Genomic DNA, 24390 nt, shown 5'->3' with positions numbered 1-24390 from the left:
GGAGGAGCAAGTCACATCTTATGTGGATGGCAGCAGGCAAAGAGAGAGAGAGCTTGTGCAGGGAAACTCCCCCGTGTAGAACCATCAGATCTCATGAGACTTACTCACTATCATAAGAACAGCATGGGAAAAACTTACCCCCATGATCCAATTACCACCCACCAGGTCCTTCCCACAACAAATGGAAATTCAAGATGATATTTGAGTGGGAATATGGCCAAACCATATCATTCTGCCCATGGCCCCTCCCAAATCTCATGTCCTCATATTTCAAAACCAATCATGCCTTCCCAATAGTCCCCCAAAGTCTTAATTCATTTCAGCATTAACTCAAAAGTCCACAGTCCAAAGTCTCATTTGAGACAAGGCAAGTCCCTTTTGCCTATGAGCCTACAAAATCAAAAGCAAGTTAGTTACTTCCTAGATACAATGGGAGTACAGACATTGAGTAAATACAGCCATTCCAAATGGGAGACATTGGCCAAAACAAAGGGGCTACATGCCCCCACACAACTGCAAAATCCAGTGGGGCAGTAAAATCTTAAAGCCCCAAAATGATCTCCTTTTGACTCTATGTCTCACATCCAGGTCAAGCTGATGCAAGAAGTAGGCTTCCATGACCTTGAGCAGCTCTGCCCCTGTGGCTTTGCAGGGTATAGTCCCCCATCCTGGCTGCTTTCACGGGCTGGCATTGAGTGTCTGGGGCTTCTCCAGGTACATGGTGCAAGCTGTCGGTGGATCTATCATTCTGGGGTCTGGAGGATGGTGGCCCTCTTCTCACAGCTCCACTAGGTGGTGCCCCAGTAGGGATGCATTGTGGGGGTTCTGACCCCACATTTCCCTTCCTCATTGCCCTAGCAGAGGTTCTCTGTGAGAGTCCTGCCCCTGCAGCAAACTGCTTCCTGGGCATCCAGGCGTTTCCATACATACTTTGAAATCCAGGCAGAGGTTCTCAAACCCCAGTTCTTTACTGCTATGCACTCTCAGGCTCAACACCATGTGGGAGCTGCTGAGGCTTGAGCCTTGCACCCTCTGAAGCTATGGTTTGAGCTCTATGTTGGCCCCTTTCAGCCATGGATGGTGCAGCTGGGACACAGGACACCAAGTCCCTTGGCTTCACGCAGCATGGGCACCCTGGGCTTGGCTCACAAAACCATTTTTTCCTCTTATGCCTCTGGGCCTATCATGGGAGGGCCTACTGCAAAGGTCTCTGACATGCCCTGGAGACATTTTCCCCCATTGTCTTGGGGATTAACGTTTGACTCCTCATTACTTATGCAAACTTCTGCAGCCTGCTTGAATTTCTCCTCAGAAAATGGGATTTTCTTTTCTATAGCATTGCCAGGCTGCAAATTTTCCGAACTTTTATGTTCTACTTCCCTTATAAAACTGAATGCCTTTAACAGCACCCAAGTCACCTCTTGAATGGTTTGCTGTTTAGAAATTTCTTCCTCCAGATACCCTAAATCATCTCTCTTGAGTTCCACAAATCTCTAGGGCAGGGACAAAGTGCCACCAGTCTCTTTGCTAAAACATAACAAGTCATCTTTGCTCCAGTTCCCAACCAGTTCCTCATCTCCACCTGAGACCACCTCAGCCTGGATATCATTGTCCGTATCAATATCAGCATTTTGGTCAAAGCCATTCAACAAGTCTCTAGATAGCTCCAAACTTTCCCTCATTTTCCTGCCTTCTTTTGAGTCCTCCAAAGTGTTCCAACCTCTGCCTGTTACCCAGTTCCAAAGTTGCTCTCACATTTTTGGGTATCTTTTCAGCAGTGCCCCATTCTACTGGTACCAATTTATTGCATTAGTCCGTTTTCATGCTGCTGATAGACATTAATTAGAGATTGGACAATTTACAAAAGAAAGGTTTATTGGACTTACAGTTCCACATGGCTGGGAAAGCCTCACAATCATGGTGGAAGGCAAGGAGGAACAAGTCACATTGTACGTGGATGGTGGCAGGCAATGAGAGAGCTAGCTTGTGCAGGGAAACTCCTCCTTACAGAACTATCCGATCTTGTGAGGCTTATTCATTATCATGAGAACAGCATGGGAAAGACCTGCCTCCATGATTCAGTTACTTCCCACTGGGTACCTCACACAACATGTGGAAATTCAAGATGAGATTTGGTGGGGAAACAGCCAAACCGTATCAGGTGGTCTTACAAAGATTTCTTAAAAATCTAGTCATAGCATGATTTCAGTGATTCAATTCAAATTCTTAATGTGTAACACCTAAAACCATTTTACTAGAATAAACTAAAAGAAGTTAGCTAGTAAGCACTTATGGCCAGCGATCACAATAATACTGTTTAAATCCACGCAGCTTATTTCAAAGTATCTGGTCTCTAATTTTTGGAATGAAACAAAGATAGGTTCTCAGCCCCCTGGTCAGAAGTATGTGATTTATTTCTGTACTACTTTCTGCTTTTTCTTTCTTGGGCTTTAGTAACTACACAGTTTGTGGAACATACTGTGTACTCAATAGGTATTTATTCTGTAAGTTATTTACTATTTCATGGTATATTTATCTTCTCTATATTTTTCTATATATCTTACTACCTTTATAGTTTATGCTTTTATAGTGCAAAAAATGCAATAAAGATTGAACTGTGATATGTAGAGTGAGTCTTCATTCTACATAACTATTATTTGAGGTATTAATACCTTTTAGTTTTCTCAGCCTTTACGTACATAACCTTCAAGAACCAGCAATGCAAAACAAACAAAAATTCTTTAACATAAATCCCTGAGCACTGTGTCCTACAAATAAATAATATGAGATTACTTATAGATTAGTTTGTGCTTCTTCTTATCAATTTATATGTCAGCAGTATACAATTTTCAAATTATTATTCTTTATGTGTTGATGGTATTGAACTGAAGACTAAATATAAAATATCACTCTCCTTATACATATATGTATGCTTATACATATATGTGTGTGTATATATGTATGTATACACATATATTCCATACATATATGTATGTATACACATATATTCCATACATATATGTATGTATACACATATATTCCATACATATATGTATGTATACACATATATTCCATACACATATATGTATGTATACATATATTCCATACATATATATGTATATATACATATATTCCATACATATATGTATATATACATATATTCCATATATATGGAAAATTATCATTTCTAAGAATAGAAAAATCAAACCTGTGTATTTTTTTTCTATTTTGCTATAGAGACAAAGAAAAGCCCACAGACTAGAGTAATAGAACACAAAATTGCCATTTGTTATCTAGAGATAAAAATTCCATTAAAGTTCTAGAATATAATGAGAAGTTAAAAATATAATATTTCAGTAGTGACAGAAAAATGCTATATCAAAGCCAAATATTTTTACTTACCATATAAAGTACCATTGAGAAATTATTTCTGTGAATTCAACAAAATGCTTTTGAAGTTCCAGAGCAATTCAAATTGTCTTACATCATGATGATATATTCTGTTGATGTATTCATATTTATAATTTTCTTGATCTTCTGTAAGAATCTTTAATGTACAAATGAAAAAAGCCAATTGAAAATTGGCATCCAATCAATTTCATGAGATATTCTCTTAAATGTGTATCTTACATATATTTTTGAGTCAGGTATGACATAGCAAATAGAATATAGGAGATATTTGTATTTATTTTCCTCTGAAGGCTTTTAACATGTATCTTTGTAGAATCACATTTGTAGGAATTCATGTTTTCTTTCACTTTAAACTTTTAGGAATTAAACTGTTATTTCAGGAGTACAATTGATTTTTAAATTACTGACATTCACAATCTATTAAAAACAGTGAAAGTAAAGAAAGGATGAAGTATATCACAATGTCATCATTCAGGTATTTGACCTCACTTTTGCCTCAGTCAAGACAAGTTCATTATTGTAGACTGAATTTTTTTCATTTAAAAATGTAAATTATTATCATGTTTTAAGGCACACTTCTACCTTGTGTATATGTCACTATCTTTTATTAGCCAACTAGGTAAACAGGACTACTGAAATTAAAAGTTAAATGTTTGTCATTTTTAGTGTTTTGAATAAAATCAGTTTTATTAGAAATAGTGGTGTTGTGCAGGGACCTTTTGAAGAGAATCATATCTTCATGAGAGTTTCATGTCCTAAAGCACTTTTATGTCTTTAGTTTCTGTGTACTAGAATGAATTGATGTGTTTTTAAAGAAGAAACATACTCATTTTTCATTCTAACTTAGAATACTTTGCTATATCATTTAAATGAAATTTTTGAAATTTGTGTGTGTAAGCATTATCATGAGGCCAGTTTTTCCATATGACTAAATTACGGTTTGCCTATAAACCATATAGTGTACAGATAAATAGGTAAATATATAGATGTATATATGTGTATACATATATGTATTTGTGATGCATCGATTTATATATTTGTATACATATATATTTGCTAAGAGTTTTCATTTTATCATATTTATATAAATCTCTTACAATTATATGTGCTCTTCTATGTGTGTATTCCTAATGTAAAGCTTTTAAAATAATTTACTATGCTCCTCGATTCATATATTTTTATTTGTATGTTGAGACTTGCTTAAATACTTTGTTGGATCTGAGCAGGTAGAAATGAGAATGGTTAAATGAGTCAGGACTGTGTGTGTTCTCATGCAGGGGGTTTCAATTCACCTGAAGCTTCCTGCATCATTTCTTGGCACCATTAATAAAACCAGAACACTTACTTCTGTATCCAGGCTGTTTAAAATCATGTTTGTAAGATGGCTCTTTGGAATAGAGTGAGTGAGGACTGGAGGATGAATAAAGAAGGGAATAACTTTTCTCCCTTCCTTTTTTGCCCCTCACTCTCTTTCTTCTTTCACACCACATTTTTTATTCTCCTGTTCATTTTTTATTTTTGCCACTGCAGTGAAGTAACAAAAAATATTAATAAAGTTTCTGAAGCTTGGATAAAATACTGCTTATCTGCTATTGATTTGGTTGTTTCCTTTGTCTGCAAACATTTACTAAGGAGCCCTGTTTGTTTGATGGGCATTCAGCTAAGGCCTAGATTTTTAGAATCTAAGATAAATGAAGAAATGGAACTTGGGATCAGAGAGAGCTTAGATAATCGTAAATTCCACAGAAGAATATAAACCAGAGAAAAATTCTACTTTGTAACTTTACAGAGGGAAGATATTTCCTGGGGCTCCCAAATTAAGGTGACCATTGAGCTCTAACAGATACATGCTGAAGTAAGGCTTGATTGTATATGCTCTAATTTAAATAAAACAGAAATATTTATTTCTAGTTTCTGTTTGCAAGACACTTACATTTTATTATTATCATTTCCATGCAAATATTTTAAATATTTTCCCCTTGATTTTGCCTTTCGATTCCTAGGGTTTGTATTATTACTTTACATGAATTTGCATGTGGTCTATGCAAAAATTTTATATACACACACATACAAATACTTCTAGGATAACAAATAAAGAAACAAGATTTGTAAAGTAACAGTAATTAATTCAGAGATGTCCACAAGATTACAAGAATAATTCAAGTTTAAGTATTTTCTTATAGGGAAGAGTATTAAACAGTAAAAAACCACTTTTAGAAAAAATTTCTACTCATTGTTGTAGCTTGTATGCCTACACGCAAACTTTCAGGAAGTATTTGTTAAATTAAAACACAAAGAAAATTATTTATTGTTCCTTATAAGCTGACAACAATATATATATGTAACAGATATATTACATAGATAATATTATATATAATAATTTTAATTAGTCCATAATAAGTAAACTATCAATTTAGTTTAAAGGGAAGAAACTGCAGATAAGCTTGGACAACAGTTAAATCTATTATTTCCAAAATCCCTATCCTCAATTTATCTCGTGTTTTATGGTGAAAACACTGAAGCTTCTGTTCCCTTGTGTTCAGCCCTGCCACCTAGGTTAGCATCAGCCTCTCCAACTGCAACAAAATTCAATTGTGTGCTGGAGACAGAAGAGACCCTCTAAACTAATTAGACAATGGACAGTCTACTTTTGGAAATAAGCCTGTGACGTTAACCAATATCAATGATAGAATTTTCTTCCCCTTTGATGTTCATAGATAGCCGATAGATCTGTATTTGGAATTGACTAGAGTTCAATTGCTGTTTTGTTAGTATAAATAAAATCCGTGCCATATAATTTAGTTAATTTGATATGAAATTTAAATACTTAATTTCTAATATATAGATGTGTTAGGATTCATTCTATCAATAATATAATAAGAATGCTTTTTGATTCTTCTGGAATAGAATCAATTGATTCTTGGTGGCAATTATCCCAGGGAACAATTGTGAGGACCCTCGTTGTAACACTTCTTTACAGGACATATTAAGTAGAAGGTAAGCCTGGCTTGAACTTTTTCCAAAGAGGTTAATCACCTCATTATAGGTAATCTTACCTAGAAAGTAATCCCCTGGCATGGCTAATTGGAACTAATTATATCCTCTGCGTTGCTTCTCCCTCCACATAAGCATTAGTTACTCATGCATTTCTTTTGGAATACATGTAGTTATGTGAAAATGTTCAACATTATTTTCTGACTGAACAAAGTTAATTCTAAAATATTACCCTTGAATGATTTATTTTTTAAAAAATGGTTCACTCATAAACATTGCTCTTTGAAGAGAAAAATAATATTCTCACATATGCAGCATTTTGAAATTTGTATTTTCTGCATTAACAGTGTTTTCATATTGGGATATGTAATGCCATGGTTCCCAAACTTCAGTCAGCATAATAATTACATCATACAGAATTAAAAATGTGTGTTATGTTTTATATAAGTATATATATAATATGCGTACATATATTTGTCTGTTACTTATATTTTATATTTTATTTTTATTAAAAACATAAGTTGTATTTAGTTATGATGTTCAATAGGATTCTTTGATGTTTGTATACATTGTGGAATGGCTAAATCAAGATATTTCACACATGCATTAACTCATATACTTTTGTGGAATTAACATTTAAAATTTCTTTTAGAAAATTTCTAGCAATTTTATATAAATAATATAGTTAATAGTTATATAAATAAGTATGTAATAAAATATTTAAAAACAGTAAGTAATAAAATAATTATATAAATAAATATATTTATGACAATTAGCTTATATAAACATATAATAGTTATATACATAACATACAAAAACTCATTAAGCATAAATATGGTACATGTATATACAACTTTCTGTCCTTTTATGCTTTGATTTAATTGGTTCAAGGCATAGTCCAGAAATTTTCATTTTTGACCATGTCCTCCAGAAACTCTGATGGACATAGTCCAAGAAATGTGCTTTGACAAGCACAGCTCCACATCACTCCCTAGATAGGAACTTTAGTAGCTTGACTGGTCAAAATAAGAGACTGACAAAGTCATCAGGCTGAATCCATCTAGCCTCTCTATATAAACGCCATCGTTATTAATGTTGCTATTTATTTATTTTGAGACGAGTCTTGCTCTGTCGCCAGGCTGCAGTGCAGTGGCGCGATCTCAGCTCACTGCAACCTCCGCCTCCCAGGTTCAAGCGATTCTATTGCCTCAGCCTCCTAAGTAGCTGGGACTACAGATGTGCACCACCATGCCCAGCTAATTTTTGTGTTTTTTTTTTTTTTTGGTTTATTCATTCAACAAAGATTTATTGAATGTATTTATGGAACACTGAGGATACAGTAGTAAACAAGAAACCCTCCTTGTGATTAGTAAATTACACTCTAGTGAATCTTGGTCCAAGGTTCTTGCCCCTATTTTGCAGTGTTGACTGGCTGCAACTGTTTAGGCCTGTCACTGTGTTTAAAAAACATTTCTAAGGTGTTAACTGGTCTTGCTGGTACTAAAATCGACTTTAACTTTCTTTGGTACATTTTTAACAGGACAGGGTTTCACCATGTTAGCCAGGATTGTCTCGATCTCTTGACCTCGTGATCCACCTGCCTTGGCCTCCCAAAGTGCTGGGATTACAGGCATGAGCCACCACACCTGGCCTTAATGTTGCTATTTTAAGTATGGTCCAAAGCTCTGTTGATCAAAGCTTGTTGAGTGCTCCTAGGCACTCAATGAGCGCTTGTTCGTATTTTTCAATGAAAGATAAGACCAGTTTGATTACCTCATTCCTGTTTCATAGTCACCAAACCACTGACAACTCCTGCCTTATTTAACCTTTTTATGTTTATGATCCCTGGAAGTAGATGTACACTTGAAATGTTTAGGATTTATATGATAATTCCCCCTCCCTGTTGATGGCTCATTTCTGTTCTTAGGCCAGCTTGTGTGCACATGCAAACGTCTACTTCCAACTCATGCAAATCCGATGGATAATGCATCACAGAAAGTCTCAATAATTGTGTACACCAGCAGCTAGGAGTAAGGCTCACACTACATATATCACATGTGAGCAAGTGTGACCTATGGGCCATACTTCACTATGAAGAATTAAGACAACGCTAATAAGCAGGGGATGTTATTGCGGAGTCATGCTTGGGTCTCCTCAATTTACCTCTTCTTTCCCCCAGATATTTATAATGTGCTAGTTAGGGCTCCCTGGCTTCAAATAGTGGCTCTTCCACCTCCTAACTGTGTGACTTTAGGAAAATTTCTCCTCTCTCCATGCCCCAATTTTCTAATCAGTGTAATGAGGATTGATACTAATGGCATCAACCTGGGGGCTGTGTTGCAAAACTAAATTAACACTGGATGAAGAACATTTTAACAGTGTCTAGCAAATATTGTGTTCCCCCAAATACTAGCAATTATGATTGATCATCTTATCACTTATTGCCTCCAAGTCTCACCATCTGGCATTTCCTTGGATTCATTCTATACCTATTCCCAGGACATTCTGACTCTCTTCCAAGCTTTCCTCATTTTGCCTTGATTGTTCTTTCAAAGTCAGAATTCATCATCAGGATCATACCTGCAGACTCTTATGTTTTCTTTTCGTTATTTTGTATAGCTTGAGAAATATTTATTATAGTTCTATAATGTGAAAGTACTTGGAGAATGAGTAATGTTAATATGAAATATCCTCTCTGCTCTTGTAAAGCCTTTGGGCCTACAGGGAAGACAAAAGCCAAACATGGAATCACAGTAACATGTGGTAAAGACTATCAGTGAGGTAAATGCAAAATGGAGTACGATATGCTACCAGGAGGAGGTGCCTCTTTCTGTCTGAGGACTGGAGAAGACATCCCCAAAAAGTATTCTTCTCATACCCATGTCCAATGCCCACAGCATCTTCACCAAGTTTTTCCACTGAGAGTCGCCCCTGTCGCTGCTACTCATATCACAACTTAGTGACCTAGCCACCCTTAAAGGCAAGAGCTCAGGAAAATGTGATCTCTGGCAGGGGCATGGTGGTGTCATGTGCTCACATAAAGTCTGAGAGGTTCTTGTGTACACAGGAAGAAAGAAAAATGAATAACGGGTCAAAAAGCATTCTCTGCCAAAACCTTCATATATTTTAAAAATGAGTTGGGCTTTGCAAAGACTTTGGGTTTGGCAGTTCATTTCTCAGCTTTAAGGAGGTCACTTAAATCTGAATTTCTATGATCCTCATCTTCTACTGAAACTTTTTAATGATGTGATAAAAATACTAACAAGTACACGGAGAAATCCTGATGTAACAAAACCATTTGCTGTGCAAGCAAGCATCTCTACATTTATATGCTTTTAAAGAATAAATCTTTACATGTACATTTATGTCTATGCAGAGCACATGCCACTATGCACTCTTCTTACTTACTGATGTTTAGTAGTCACTGTGATGTCATAATTTGTTTGGTTTTTAATATGTAGACACAGTTTGTTCTTTATACATATTCTTTTAATATTTTGTTTACTTACTTTTCATCTTACTTTTACTAACTTTGTCTTATTTAATTCATTTTGCTTTAATCTTTAAGGCATATTTAAATTACAAAAGTCATTTGGAATTTTGGCAATAACTTCTAAAATACCAGAAAGTTTCATGTACTGTGATTCATGTAGTTTGCAAATTTATGAATATAAAATTCATTTATGTTCAAATTCAATTACTTTAATTATTTTGGCTGTTTTACATTTCAACCTGGATGCTTTAGCCTGTTTTCTACTCACCTAATGATAAAAATTATTTTCAAATATAACTAAAGTAATTTAAAGTATCATATGACATACAGAAAAGAACACAAAGTTACAAAAAAATTCTATTGCTTTTTCTAGATCTATACATCTTACTAGGGGAAAAAAAAAAAAGCTTGGTTACCATGAAAACTTAAGCTAATATCACTAATCGTTAGTCCCAATCTTATTTTTATTCTCAGTTATTATAGCCTAATAAACAGTTGTAAACCTAACGTGTAAGTTGTGTGTCCTTGTGGCAATAGACTACAATAAAACTCATCATTTATATTTCTTAAAGGCTGGGGTATGTTCCAGATACTCTACTAAATGATTTTTCTGGATTATTTTATTTAATCCACACACAATCTTAGGAGATAGTTACAATTATTATTTTTACTTCACATATTAGAAAACAAATTCAGAAGTATAACTTGCTCTAGTTTACATATGTAGCAATTTACTAAACATTCTGTCTAGATAAATACTCATTTGATGCAAGGCTAATATGTTCCAGAAAAGACTTCTTTTGCTCAGGGTAGAAGATGAGTTTAACACCATTCCAACCACTTAGAGTTTATAGCTTAGTGGGGAAAAGATACATGCAAACACATATATAATACTGTAAGATGAGTGCAGTGGTTGGAGTATCATACACAGAGGATGCAAAGGAGAAAATACTTCTTATGCAGTGATGGGATAGTGCTGATTAGGAAGGTTTTGCATAAAACCTGATACATTATTTTAAAAGATAAAGAGAAGTTTTACAAATGACTTTGGAGCCAATCTGGGGTACATGTGCAGAACATGTAGTTTTGTTACATAGGTATACATGTGCCACGGTAGTTTGCTGCACCCATCGATCCGTCACCTACATTAGGTATTATGCCCAGTGCTATCCCTTCCCTAGGCCCCCCACCCCCTGACAGGCCCCAATATGTGATGTTCCCCTCCCTGTTTCCATGTCTTCTCATTGTTCAACTCCCACTTATGAGTGAGAACATGCGGTGTTTGGTTTTCTGTTCTTGTATTAGTTTGCTGAGAATGATGGTTTCCAGCTTTAATCCATCCTGAGTTAATTTTTGTATAAAGTGTAAGGTAGGGGTCCAGTTTCAGTTTCCTGCATATGGCTGGCCAGTTTTCCCAACACCTTTTTTTAAATAGGGAATCCTTTCCCCATTGCTTGTTTTTGTCAAGTTTGTCAAAGATCAGATGGTTGTAAATGTGTGGCATTATTCCTGAGGCCTATGTTCTGTTCCATTGGTTTATATATCTGTTTTGGTACCAGTACCATGCTGTTTTGGTTACTGTAGCCTTGTCATATAGTTTGCAGTCAGGTAGCATGATGCCTCCAGCTTTGTTCTTTTGGCTTAGGATTGTCTTGGCTATACAGCCTCCTTTTTGGCTCCATATGAAATTTAAAGTAGTTTTTTCTAATTCTGTGAGAAAAGTCAATGGTTGCTTGATGGGGATAGCATTGAATCTCTAAATTACTTTGGGCAGTATGGCCATTTTCATGATATTGATTCTTCCTGTCCAAGAGCATGGAATGTTTTTCCATTTGTTGGTGTCCTCTCCTATTTCCCTGAGCAGTTCTCCTTGAAGAGGTCCTTCACATCCCTTGTAAGTTGTATTCCTAGGTATTTTATTCTTTTTGTAGCAGTTGTGAATGGGAGTTCACTCATGACTTGGCTCTTGGTCTATTATTGGTGTATAGGAATGCTTGTGATTTTTGCACATTGATTTTTTTCTCCTGAGACTGCTGAAGTTGCTTATCAGCTTAAGGAGATTTGGGGCTGAGATGATGGGGTTTTCTAAATATACAGTCATGTCATCTGCAAACAGAGACAATTTGACTTCCTCTCTTCCTATTTGAATACCCTTTATTTCTTTCTCTTGCCTGATTGCCCTGGCCAGAACTTCCAATACTATATTGAATAGGAGTGGTGAGAGAGGGCATCCTTGTCTTGTGCCAGTTTTCAAAGGGAATAGTTCCAGCTTTTGCCCATTCAGTAGGATATTGGCTGTGGGTTTGTCATAAATAGCTCTTATTATTTTGAGATACATTCCATCAATACCCAGTTTATTGAGAGTTTTTAGCGTGAAGGGCTGTTGAATTTTATCAAAGGCCTTTTCTGCATCTATTGAGATAATCATGTGGGTTTTGTCCTTGGTTCTGTTTATGTGATGGATTACAGTTACTGATTTGCATATGTTGAACCAGCCTTGCATCCCAGGGATGAGGTCAAGGTGATCGTTGCAGATAAGCTTTTTGACGTCCTGCTGGATTTGCTTTGCCAGTATTTTACTGAGGATTTTTTCATCAGTGTTCATCAGGGATATTGGCCTGAAATTTTCTTTTTTTGTTGTGTCTCTGCCAGGTTTTGGTATCAGGATGATGCTGGCCTCATAAAATGAGTTAGGGAGGAGTCCCTTTTTTTCTATCACCTGGAATAGTTTCAGAAGGCATGATACCAACTCCTCTTCATACCTCTGGTAGAATTCGGCTGTGAATCTGTCTGGTCCTAGGCTTTTTTTTGGTTTGTAGGCTATTAATTACAGCCTCAGTTACAGAACTTGTTATTGGTCTATTCAGGGATTCGACTTCTTCCTGGTTTAGTCTTGGGAGGGTGTATGTGTCCAGGAATTTATCCGTTTCTTCTAGATTTTCTAGTTTATTTACATAGTGGTATTTATAGTATTCTCTGATGGTAGTTTGTATTTCTGTGAGATCAGTGCTGATATCCCCTTTACCATTTTTTACTCTGTCTATTTGATTCTTCTCTCTTTTCTTTATTCATCTGGCTAGTGGTCTATTTTGTTTATCTTTAAAAAAAAAAAACAGCTCCTGGATTCATTGATTTTTTGAAGGGTTTTTGTGTATGTGTGTCTCTATCTCCTTCAGTTCTGCTCTCATCTTAGCTATTTCTTGTCTTCTGCTAGCTTTTGAATGTGTTTGCTCTTGCTGCTCCAGTGCTTTTAATTGTGATGTTAGGGTGTTGATTTTAGACCTTTCCTGCTCTTTCCTGTGGGCATTCAGTGCTATAAGTTTCCCTGTAAACAATGCTTTAGCTGAGTCCCAGAAATTCTGGTACATTGTGTCTTTGTTCTAATTGATTTCAAAGAAATTATTTATTTCTGCCTTAATTTGCTTTTTTACCCCGTACTCATTCAGGATCTGGTTGTTCAATTTCCCTGTAGTTGTGTAGTTTTGGGTGAGTTTCTTAATCATGAGTTTTAATTTGATTGCACTGTGGTCTGAGAGACTGTTATGATTTCCGTTCTTTTGCATGTGCTGAGGAATGTTTTACTTCCAATTATGTGGTCAGTTTTAGAATAAGTGTGATGTGGTGCTGAGAAGAATGTATTTCTGTTGATTTGGGGTGGAGAATTCTGTAGATGTCTATTAGGTCCACTTGGTCTGGAGCTGAGTTCAAGTCCTGAATACTCTTGTTAATTTCCTGTCTTGTTGATCTGTCTGATATTGACAGTGGGGTGTTCAAGTCTCCCATTATTATTGTGTGGGAGTCTAAGTCTCTTTGTAGGTCTCTAAGAGCTTGCTTTATGAATCTGCGTCCCCCTGTATTGGATGCATATATATTTAGGAGAGTTAGCTCTTCTTGGTGGATTGATTCCTTTACCATTATGTCATGCCCTTCTTTGTCTTTTTTTATCTTTGTTGATTTAAAGTCTGTTTTATCAGAGACTAGGATTGCAATCCCTGGTTTTTTTTTTCTTTGCTTTCCATTTGCTTGGTAAATCTTCCTCCATCCCTTTATTTTGAGCCTATGTGTGTCTTTGCATGTGAGGTGGGTCTCCTGAATACAGCACACCAATGGGTCTTGACTCTTTATCCAATTTGCCAGCCTGTGTCTTTTGATTAGGGCATTTCCCCCATTTACATTTAAGGTTAATATTGTTATGTGTGAATTTGATCCTGTCATGATAATGCTAGCTTGATATTTTGCCTGTTAGTTGATGCAGTTTCTTCATAGCATTGATGGTCTTTACAATTTGGTATGCTTTTGCATTGGCTGGTACCAGTTTTTCCTTTCCATATTTAGTGCTTTCTTCAGGAGCTCTTATAAGGCAGGCCTGGTGGTGACAAAATCTCTCAGCATTTGCTTGCCTGTAAAGTATTTTATTTCTCCTTCCCTTACGAAGCTTAGTTTGCCTGGATATGGAATTCTGGGTTGAAAATTCATTTCTTTAAGAATGTTGATTATTGGCCCCCCTCTCTCTTCTGGCTTGTAGGGTTTCTGCAGAGAGATCTGCTGTTAGTCTGATAGGGTTCCCTTTGTGGGTAACCTCACCTGTCTCTCTGGCTGCCCTTAACATTTTTTCCTTCATTTCAACCTTGGTGAATCTGAAGATTATGTGTCTTGGGGTTGCTCTTCTCAACGAGTATCTTTGTGGTGTTCTCCGTATTTCCTGAATTTGAATGTTGGCCTGTCTTGCTAGGTTGGTGAAGTTCTTCTGGATAATATCCTGAAGAGTGTTTTTCAACTTGGTCTCCCTGTCACTTTCATGTACACCATTCAAACGTAGGTTTGGTCTTTTTACATAGTCCCGCATTTCTTGGAGGCTTTGTTCATTCCTTTTCATTCTTTTTTCTCTAATCTTGTCTTCATGCTTTCTTTTGTTAAGTTGATCTTCAGTCTCTGATATCCTTTCTTCCACTTGATCAGTTCAACTACTGATACTTGCGTATGCTTCACGAAGTTCTTGTGCTGTGTTTTTCAGCTCCATCAGGTCATTTATGTTCTTCTCTAAACTGGTTATTTTAGTTAGCAATTCATCTAACCTTTTTTCAAGGTTCTTTGCTTCCTTGCATTGGGTTAGAACATGCTCTTCAGAGCCAGCAAGCAGGAAGGTTTAAGTTGCTGAAGCTGCACCCACAGCTACCCCTTCCCCCGGGTGCTCTGCTCCAGGGAGATTGGAGTTTTATCTACAAGCCTCTGACTAGGGCTGCTGCCTTTCTTTCAGAGATGCCTTGCCCAGAGAGGAGGAATTGAGAGAGGCAGTCTGGCTACAGCGGCTTTGCCAAGCTGCGGTGGGCTCTGTCCAGTTTGAACTTCCCAGTGGCTTTGTTTACACTGTGAGGGTAAAACCGCCTACTCAAGCTTCAGTAATGGCGGACGCCCCTCCCCCCACCAAGCTGGAGCATCCCAGGTTGACTTCAGACTGCTGTGCTGACAGCGAGAATTTCAAGCCAGTGGATCTTAGCTTGCTGGGCTCTGTGGGGATGGGATCCCCTGAGCTAAACCACTTGGCTCCCTGGCTTCAGCTCCCTTTCCAGGAGAGTGAACGGTTCTGTCTTGCTGGTATTCCAGGCGCCACCAGGGTATGAAAACAAATCCTGCAGCTAGCTCGTTGTCTGCCCAAACAAATGGCAGCCCAATTTTGTACTTGAAACCCATGGCCCTGGTGGTGTAGGCACTGGAGTGAATATCCTGGTGTGCAGGTTGCAAAGACTGTGGGAAAAGCTTAGTATCTGGGCCGGGATGCACCATCCCTCATGGCACAGTCCCTCAGGGCTTCCCTTGGCTATGGGAGGGAGTTCTCTGACCCCTTGTGCTTCCTGGGTGAGGCAACGCCCTACCCTGCTTCGGCTCACCCTCTGTGGGCTGCACCCACTGTCTAACCAGTCCAAATGAGAGGAGCTGGGTGCCTCAGTTGGAAATGCAGAAATCACCCACCTTCTGCATTGATTTCGCTGGGAGCTGCAGACAGGAGCTGTTCCTACTCAGCCATCTTGCCAGCCACCGCTGGGCACACTATATTATTAACGATTAGTTTTATCAGAGGTATTTATTCAGAATTTATTTAAATTTAAATTATTTAACTTATTTTATTTATTGTTACACTATTTTATCAGATGGTTCACTTATTATGTAGTCATAAGAATTTATTAAATTTTTAATTTAAATTTTAAAAGAAATTTGGGGATCTAATTTTATTGTGATCCTCACATAAATATTCAGGTGGTTAGAATACCTGAAATCGAATTAAAATTTAAATTTTTAGAAGGCTTCCCATAGATTCCTAATTCCAGAAAGAGAAAGAATCTTTAGAGCATCGTTTTTTTTAATCAAGGCTTGAAGATTCTTGATTTAAAGACGTTGAAGAATCTAACCAGCAGAGGGCGCTAGCCCACATGCACTCAGCCTTGCCGCACTTCCCGCAATCCAGAGAACACTGGATGAGTCCTTCCCTATTAAGCATACTGGCAAAGTCATTGTTTTGATTTGTGTTGCGTTGCCGGGACTTAGATTTTTTACACCAGTAGTCCTTCTCATGTAGATGTATACAATTCTTTTAACCAAGTGTAATTTGAGTTATATTTGAATGTCAGCCGGCATACTTGAGAGTCTGTTGTAAATGCTAAAATGTTAGCAATCTGTCATAGGAGGTCAAAGGGCATCTGTGTACCTTAGTCCAGCCTACTAATTAAGGAGCTTTTGATCCCATTTGATGAACAAGACAAGTTTTAATCTCACGTGGAAGGGACTTTGCTTCAGACCAACTAAAAGTCAAAGTGTTGATGTTCTTTCTTAATTGCAGCATTGGAAATTAAATAAATGCAAAATGTCTGAAATAATTTGCTAGTTGGAACTGAGATCAGTCTTTAAAAAAATCTTTTTTATTTATAAGTAATTCAGTTTAGAAATAATAGCTTTAATATAGCAATTAATAGCAAGAATATTATTTTTTAAAGTTTCCAAAATGCAAGCAATACTATATTTACTTTAAGAGCATTTTAACAAATCTTGTGTATTTTAGGTGCCTTTATTACCGTAATTTTAATAACTTTACCCAGTTAGATAAGAAAATAAGGAAACCAGTTTTAGCATGTGCCAGCTCTTTATTGTACAGAAATTAATGGCAGGTGTCCATTTTAGGTAATTACTTAATAATATCAACTAATTGTTAATAACGCAGTCCTTTTTACATACCCTCTTTACTAGTGCACTATGATATCATATTATTTTAACATGCGGCATACTTTTTAACTTGTGTACAATTAAATATATGATGTATCTGTGTGGTGACTGAAGACTTTATTTGACAAAGCTGATATGAAATATATTTGCTTCTTATCTCTTGAAAAGCAGTTAATGCTGTCATTTCTACTTTATGATTCAGCACAGTGAAAGTGTAGGAAACTGTTGAAAAACCTGTGGGAAGTTAATTTTAATGTGTAATAGTATGAGAGGGGTCCTATCTCTTTTCTTCATTCTGTAAAGCTTATAACAAAGATGATGATTATTTAAGCAAGTGACAAACTGTCCCACTGATAGGATACATTAATTTGCCTGCAAAGCTGTTCCTTGTCCTCTATAAGAAGGTGATAATTAGGTTTTCAGGTTAGAAAAAAATCATGTCAATTATGTAGATGCTTGTTAAAATATATTTAATTCTTTATATAAACTTGAAACAATTACAAATGGTAAAATATTTTTGTGTAAACTTTTAAGTGAATACAGCTAATATATCAAATTAATATTAAGTTAGCACAACTCTTGGGAAGACAAACAATTGGAAAAATAATGTAAGAAGTGATTAACTTCTCAGGTAAAGCATTAGGTTTTGCTAGAACATCTACCTAATAAAACATCACTTATTCATAGCATGATTTAATTTCTTCATTTGACCACACTGAGTGCAATTTCATCTTTGAAAAGTCACATAGGATTGTTTTGTGCAGGTATATTAACATCCTCAAATTCTAATGATGTTGAAAGCTTGAGTTACCACTAGGTACTGCCAATGATTATGTTTTTTAGCTTATATTATACAGAATTAACTTCACTCTACATCTGAGTGCCTAAAAGAGTACTACAGGTTCAGCAGCTCTTATGTGAAATGCTTGGGATCCTAACTATTTCAGATTTCAGACTTTTTTATATTTTGGGATATTTCCATATACATAATGAGGTATTTTGGTGATATGACCCAAGTCTATCACAAAACACAAAACTCACTTATGTTTCATATATACCTTATACACATAACCTGAAAATAATTTCATGCAATATTCTTAATAATATTGTGCATGGAACAGAGTTTGAGTTAAGTACTTACGTGTTGAATTTTCCACATGTGGCATCCCGTTGGCCCTCAAAAATTTTAGATTTTGTAACATTTCGGATTTTGGATTTTTGGATTAGAAATGCTAAACCTGTATACGGTGTATACATTTTAAATAGTGAAGGCACAAATTCAACAGTGAAGGCACAAATTTATAAACACAAAACACTAGTGACTTTTTAAAGGAAGACGCTTTCATTGCCTTGGAGTTGATTTTAGCCCGTTGTCTTAAAGTTCTTAAACCCAATCTTTTCTAGCTTTAAATAACCAAAGGTAATTTCCTCTTCTTAAAAATTTCAGGGTATTAAAAACTTTCTTATATCTATTTCCTGAACCAAGTTGAAGAATGTTCAGTGCACATTCATTTAAAATACCTTTAAATGTTCCGACTCAATTACTTTTAATAGAGTGGAGAATGTTTGCTGTTTCTCAGAGTGCACAGCCAGAAAGGTTGGGTTTTAGTTAGAAAACATAGAAAATTACTTCCTGTGCAAAGGTACTCTCTAGAGAAATATAAGTAACCAGAAAACCCTACTGAAGACCAGTATATGTACTGGAAATGTCATGTAATTTCTTTGCACTTGTTGTGAACAGAATAATGGCATAAATAATGTTATGGTAAGACATTGACAAGATAAAATAAAAAGAGATTTTTGTTGATAATATGCAAAAATGCCACATCTGTTTTTATTCATTCTGCACTTATTTCTTTGAGGGAGCATTTCTACAGCTGTGAAAACCTAGGGAGTTTTTTACAAAACAATTTTAACAAATGTTCATGATTCCACACCAATGAAATGCATTTTAATTCCATTCAGAATGTTCCAAGCTCTCTAGCAGATAACCAGTAATAAAATTCATATTGAAGTTATGTCTGTGATTTTTAACTTCACTGCTCAAATGGTATAAGCAAGTTTTCCTGGTTGTCATAAAGAAATACAGAGAATTCTAAACAGAGTTTATAGAAAATTAAAAAGTATATTGATGGTTGGGAAGTTCAAACGTGATATTGGGTTCCATAGATAACCAGGAGACACTTCTGATGTCATATGAAAAAGACAAACCTTCGGTTCTATCTGTGTCTGAATTCTACTTCTGCCTCTTACCAGTTCTGAAGCCTAGGGTAAATTATTTAGAATTTAGTAGCATCCATTTCATCACCTATGAGAGTAGAATAGTGATTCTTAGTTCTCAGGATTGTTATACTATTAAATTAAATTGAATAATACATGTCATGTTAGCTAGAGTAATACCATTTCTTTTGTTTTTATTCCCATCAGAATTTACTATCAAAACTATCATGTGACTCAAGTGTATGCAGGATATTGATGCTATAATGCAGGGGTCCAGTAACTCTCTGGGATTTACAAAGATGTGTCAGAAATATTAGGTGATTCTTAGAAAGTGAAAAATGGAGTTGAAAGTTCATTGAAAGCTTTATTATTTAAAAGTTAACGTGCATCTGATAGCAATCATATATGATTTCTATATAATGCAAAGATCGTGTCACATAATCACAAGAGCACAAAATTTAGATTTAAAAGCCATATTATAATTCCTGAACGTGGAAGCTACCTTTGTAAATTGGAATGGTTTTCTTAAGACAATCTCACAGAGTTACTGCAACTATTGAACATGAATGTTTGTAAAAACATAGGCTACTAAATAATTGCCTTAAAATGTGTTTGCAGTCAAAATCCTAGTCAATAAAAGAACATAGGTCTGCTAGAGACATACAGGAAATACCATAGAATTAAGTGATTTTTTAAAATAGGGAAGTATTTTCAAATTAGAAGTGGATCAATGGGTACAAAAATATACTTAGATAGATGGAATAAGTTGTAGTATTCAATACTACAGTAGGAAAAGTATAGTTAACAATAATGTGTGGTATATTTCAAAACAGGTAGAAGAGAAGAAGTGTAATGTTCTAACACTAGAAAAGTTGAATGTTTGAGGTGATGGATATTCCAATTAGGCTGACTTGATCATTACACATTATATACATGTCTCAAAATAGCACATGTATCTGCAATGTGTGTAACTATGATATATCAATAAGATATAATACAAAAATAATATTAATGAAACACTTCCAAGAAAACCCTTAATTGTACTCCCTTCAAAAAAGACAAAGCAAGATATACATACTTCCCACTGATAAGTAATAAGACAGATCAGGGGTCAGCAAACTATGGCCCATATGCCAGTTCTGGCCCTCTGCTTACTTTATAAAAGGAATGTTTTGTGGAACACAACCAAGGTCACTTGTTTTTCTGCTATCTTTGGCTGCATTTGAACTACAAGGGCAGAGCTGAGTTGTGACAGAGACCATATGATCCATATAGCCTAAATTATTTACTATCTGGGCCTTTACAAAGAAAGTTTACTACTCCTGTGATAGATGAAAAACTGTAGCTCTGAGAGAAAGTGTTCGAAAAATTACAGATAAATTTCAGAACAGATAAAAGGAGTAAAAACTTCATGTTCTGTCATACAGAGAACGATACAATGGAGATGGTTAGAAATGCAGTGAATGGGGAACTTAAGGAGACTTATTTTAAGTAGCATGGGAATTTTGAGCCTTGGTGGAGAAACTGAGATTCTCTGCAAAGTGTAATGCTTTCTAGTCCAGAACCATATGTGCTACACAAAATGCATGGAATAGAGACTCTGGAGCAAACTAGTCCCTTATCTGTGTCGATTTTGCTTATTTCTTTATTAGAAAAGGCAATATCTACCAGAACCACGTAACCGGATGCTTGAAATGGCTGTGGTGGTGACAAGAAATGACTGTGGTGGCTCTGGAACCTGACAACCCATGTCCAAATCCAGGCTCCTCCACTTAGTAACTGGGTGACCCTGAACAAGCAGCTTAACCCTTTCTGTGCCTCACTTTCCTCCTCTGTAAAATGACCCAATAATGGTTCTTACTCCATAGAGTACAAAAGAGTAAATGAGTTAATGCATCTAAAGCACTAAGAACAGTGCCTGGAGCGTAGTAATCACTATATGTGTAAGCCATTGCTATTTCCATTTCCATGCACACGCATGCAGTCATGGACCACGTTACAATGTTTAAGCCAGTGATGGAACACATACGTTCTGTAAGATTTAATGGAGCCTTTATAGAAACTTAATATAGGGCATGTGATATTGGTTTTGCAAATCAAGTAGAGGAAATGATTGATATTCAGTAATGGTGCTGGGACACTTGGTTTTCCATATAATATATATAAATAAAAATATCTAGGTTTGTGTAAGTACACTCTATGATATTTGCACAATAACAAAATTTCCAAACAATGCATTTCTCAGAAGGTATTTCTGTAAAGTGACACATGATTGTAAATTAGCTTATATTAGTTGTTTCCTTTTTGCATTCTACCTATGATTTTTATTATATAATATAAATTCAGTCAGTTTCACTTGACCCATTTTTGTCTTTATAGTCTTCTGAGTTAAATTCACATTCAGGTGACTCTTATTAAAAATTTCAGTAAGAAATGCCCTTATCAAGTTACACTATGAAATGATTTGCCAGGAGTAGTTATCCAAATGTTAGCTGCTATCCACATATTTTTTCAGAGACTTAATAGATGAAATGAAGCATAAATATTTCATTCTAAATGATACAATTTGCAATTCTAGGATCTCAGGTATTTTTCTCAATTGCAAAGTAAATATTATTTTAAAATATATTTTCAAATAATTTGGAATTTATATGAGAATAAGGTTGTTAATAGATTCTAGGTAATTACCCTGGTTGTTTTACATTCTGAGAAACCTATTGATCCGTATTATTATTGCTTCAGTAATAAAATAACATATGCTTACTGATTTATAGTTTTAAATAATTGCTTTTGTATAAATTATTTTATTTGCTCTTGAGATATTTAAGCCCACATATGTATGTCATGCATGTTCTTTTCTATTGGGCAGGAAATATTGCAAGCATATCGATGGTGATAATTAATATTTTCTAAACAGTCAAAAACAGGTGTACCTTTCCAAATAAATCTAAATAAAATTCAAAACAAACTTGTTGAATGACTTCAGAAAAGAGTCAAAAATTCTCTTGATGGGCTTCAGATTAGGAATATGTTAGCAATAACAACTTTAATACAAGCAGTAAAATATTAAACAATCATAAGTCTGACTGTGCAAAAGAGTGAGTTTCATTAATTTCTTTAATTGATCCCATTTTGTTTTTGAGTGGCCACTCTTACTGGTGAAGTAAGAGTTTGGGGCATCTCACTGATTAAGTAAATAGCTGATCTTGTTCATTAAAAGCAGTTCAGTCTTCTCTGGTTTAACACATTTTCTCATTGATGTAACTACCCAGTTGTTCTGGGTATCTTTCTCAACTCACTGGCTTTGACTTTACTTTCCTCTTTCTCAGAACAATGTTTAAGTACAAAGGGCATAGCACAGTTTCTTATAACATAGGAGTATTTTAGCGTATTCCAGAGAAACAGAACTAATTGGAGATTAGATGGAGAGAGAGAGAGAGAGAGAGAGAGAGAGACAGATAGAGAGATTTATTATAAGGAATTGGCTCACATGATTGTGGAGGCTAAGAAGCTGCAAGATCCACAGTCAGTAAGCTGGAGATCAAGGAGAGCTGATGCTATAGTTCCAGTCTGAGTCCAATAGCCTGAGAAGTAGGACAGGGTAACGGTTTTAGTGGAGTCCAAACCTGAAGGCAGAAAACCAATCTCCCAGCTTAAATGTATCAGTCAGAGAGAAAAAATTCTCCTTTACCCAGCCTTTTTGCTCTATTTAGACATTCAACACATTAGATGAGTCCTACCCATATTGTGAAGGGCAATCTGCTTTACTCTGTCTACCAATTCAAATGGTGATCTCATTCATAGACACCTTCACAGGCACACACAGAGTAATGTTTAACCAAATATCTGGGTACCTCATGGCTCAGCCAAGTTGACATATAATATTAATAGTCACAATAGGGGAAGATTCTGTCTCCCAGATGGCAGATGGTCTCTACTTCTGCTGAAAGGTAGCAGAAGCCACCTGGTCTCTGGGCATCTTACACTGGTATCCGCTGTGGAGACCCATCTGATATTTTGGGCATCTGACTGATAGCTATTCCTGATGGTTGTAGACTGTGTAATTACCTTCATTCTCAACATCCCACCAACTACTTGTCCTGACCTCTGTTTCCTCCTAGTTCATTCTCTCAGCATTTTTGAGTCCACATTGTTCAAGAGTCTTGTCATTCTAAGGTGCTTTTTTCCTCCAACCTAATAAGGTCTATGTGACTTGGCGAGGACTTTCCTCAGATCCACTTGATAGGACACCTCCTTCTGCTCTTTGCTACTTTCTACTTCCATGCAGTCCATGGCACAGAATGATGAAAATGGGCATCATTCTTCTCAGTCACAGAAGGATCTCCCAAGATTACCCCTAGGATTCTTTGATTGCCATATTTTACTTAGGAATTTTTTTTCTACTCTTAGGTGTTGACCTGAAGAATAAGGGGACCAATCCTGATATCCAATCTCTTGTCTCTCTAATCCCATGATTTGGGCTTTGCCACCCACCTCCTCCACTCAGCCACTGTAGGGCTTTGCCCTCTTAGTTTGGCAGAAATCTCCCACTGTGCCTTCTTATTATATAACTTTGGCATATTAATTATTTTGTCCTCAGTCCTCTGGGACTTGTCTGTTGATCTGAAATCTCTGCTGTGGAAATACAAAGAAAAACGCTTTATCATTTAGCAAGGCCTAACACTTGCAAGAGTAAAAGATACATGTCTTTAGATTATTACCTGGACAGTGGCATCCCTATGAAGATATTCATGTTGTTGACATAATTGGTAGGAGATTCACAGGCATTCAGGAATTTGGTGTTAACCAGCATGGCAATATATGGACTTACAATTTCAAAAATTAAAAAGAAATTGTCTTGGTTTCATCTATTTTGCATATTGATAAATTGTGTTCTTGTCATAGCTTATTTTTTTTTAATCCCAGGGAACAATTTATCCAAAATATCATAAAATCAAAATTAGTTCCTGTCGCCTAGCAAGTAATACATAATGAACTTTGAGAAGCAAAGTACACTAATTTAAAAACAATTCACTACTTTGTTTACTTTCCACACT

The 24390-nt window shown here is 36.0% G+C and overlaps 1 protein-coding gene across 25 annotated transcripts in view; it reads left to right on the top strand.

The window, feature by feature from the left end:
• The window catches only part of DGKB (diacylglycerol kinase beta), an 829810-nt gene that overhangs the window by 500525 nt on the left and 304895 nt on the right, over positions 1 to 24390 (top strand). Inside the window, exon 22 of one of the 25 annotated variants that reach the window (XM_017011792.3) lies at positions 6319 to 6625. The exons of the other annotated variants lie outside the window; for them this stretch is intronic. Within the exon in view, the coding sequence (XP_016867281.1) occupies positions 6319 to 6328 (10 nt within the window). The 3' untranslated portion in view covers positions 6329 to 6625. Of the gene's footprint in view, positions 1 to 6318; positions 6626 to 24390 lie in introns of those variants that run through there. 25 annotated transcript variants of the gene reach the window in all.

The sequence above is a fragment of the Homo sapiens genome, chromosome 7 (assembly GCF_000001405.40).
Source record: "Homo sapiens chromosome 7, GRCh38.p14 Primary Assembly".
Lineage (NCBI taxonomy): Eukaryota > Metazoa > Chordata > Mammalia > Primates > Hominidae > Homo > Homo sapiens.
The sequence above is the reverse complement of the archived record's forward strand: the minus strand, read 5'-3'. Positions and strand labels throughout refer to the sequence as shown.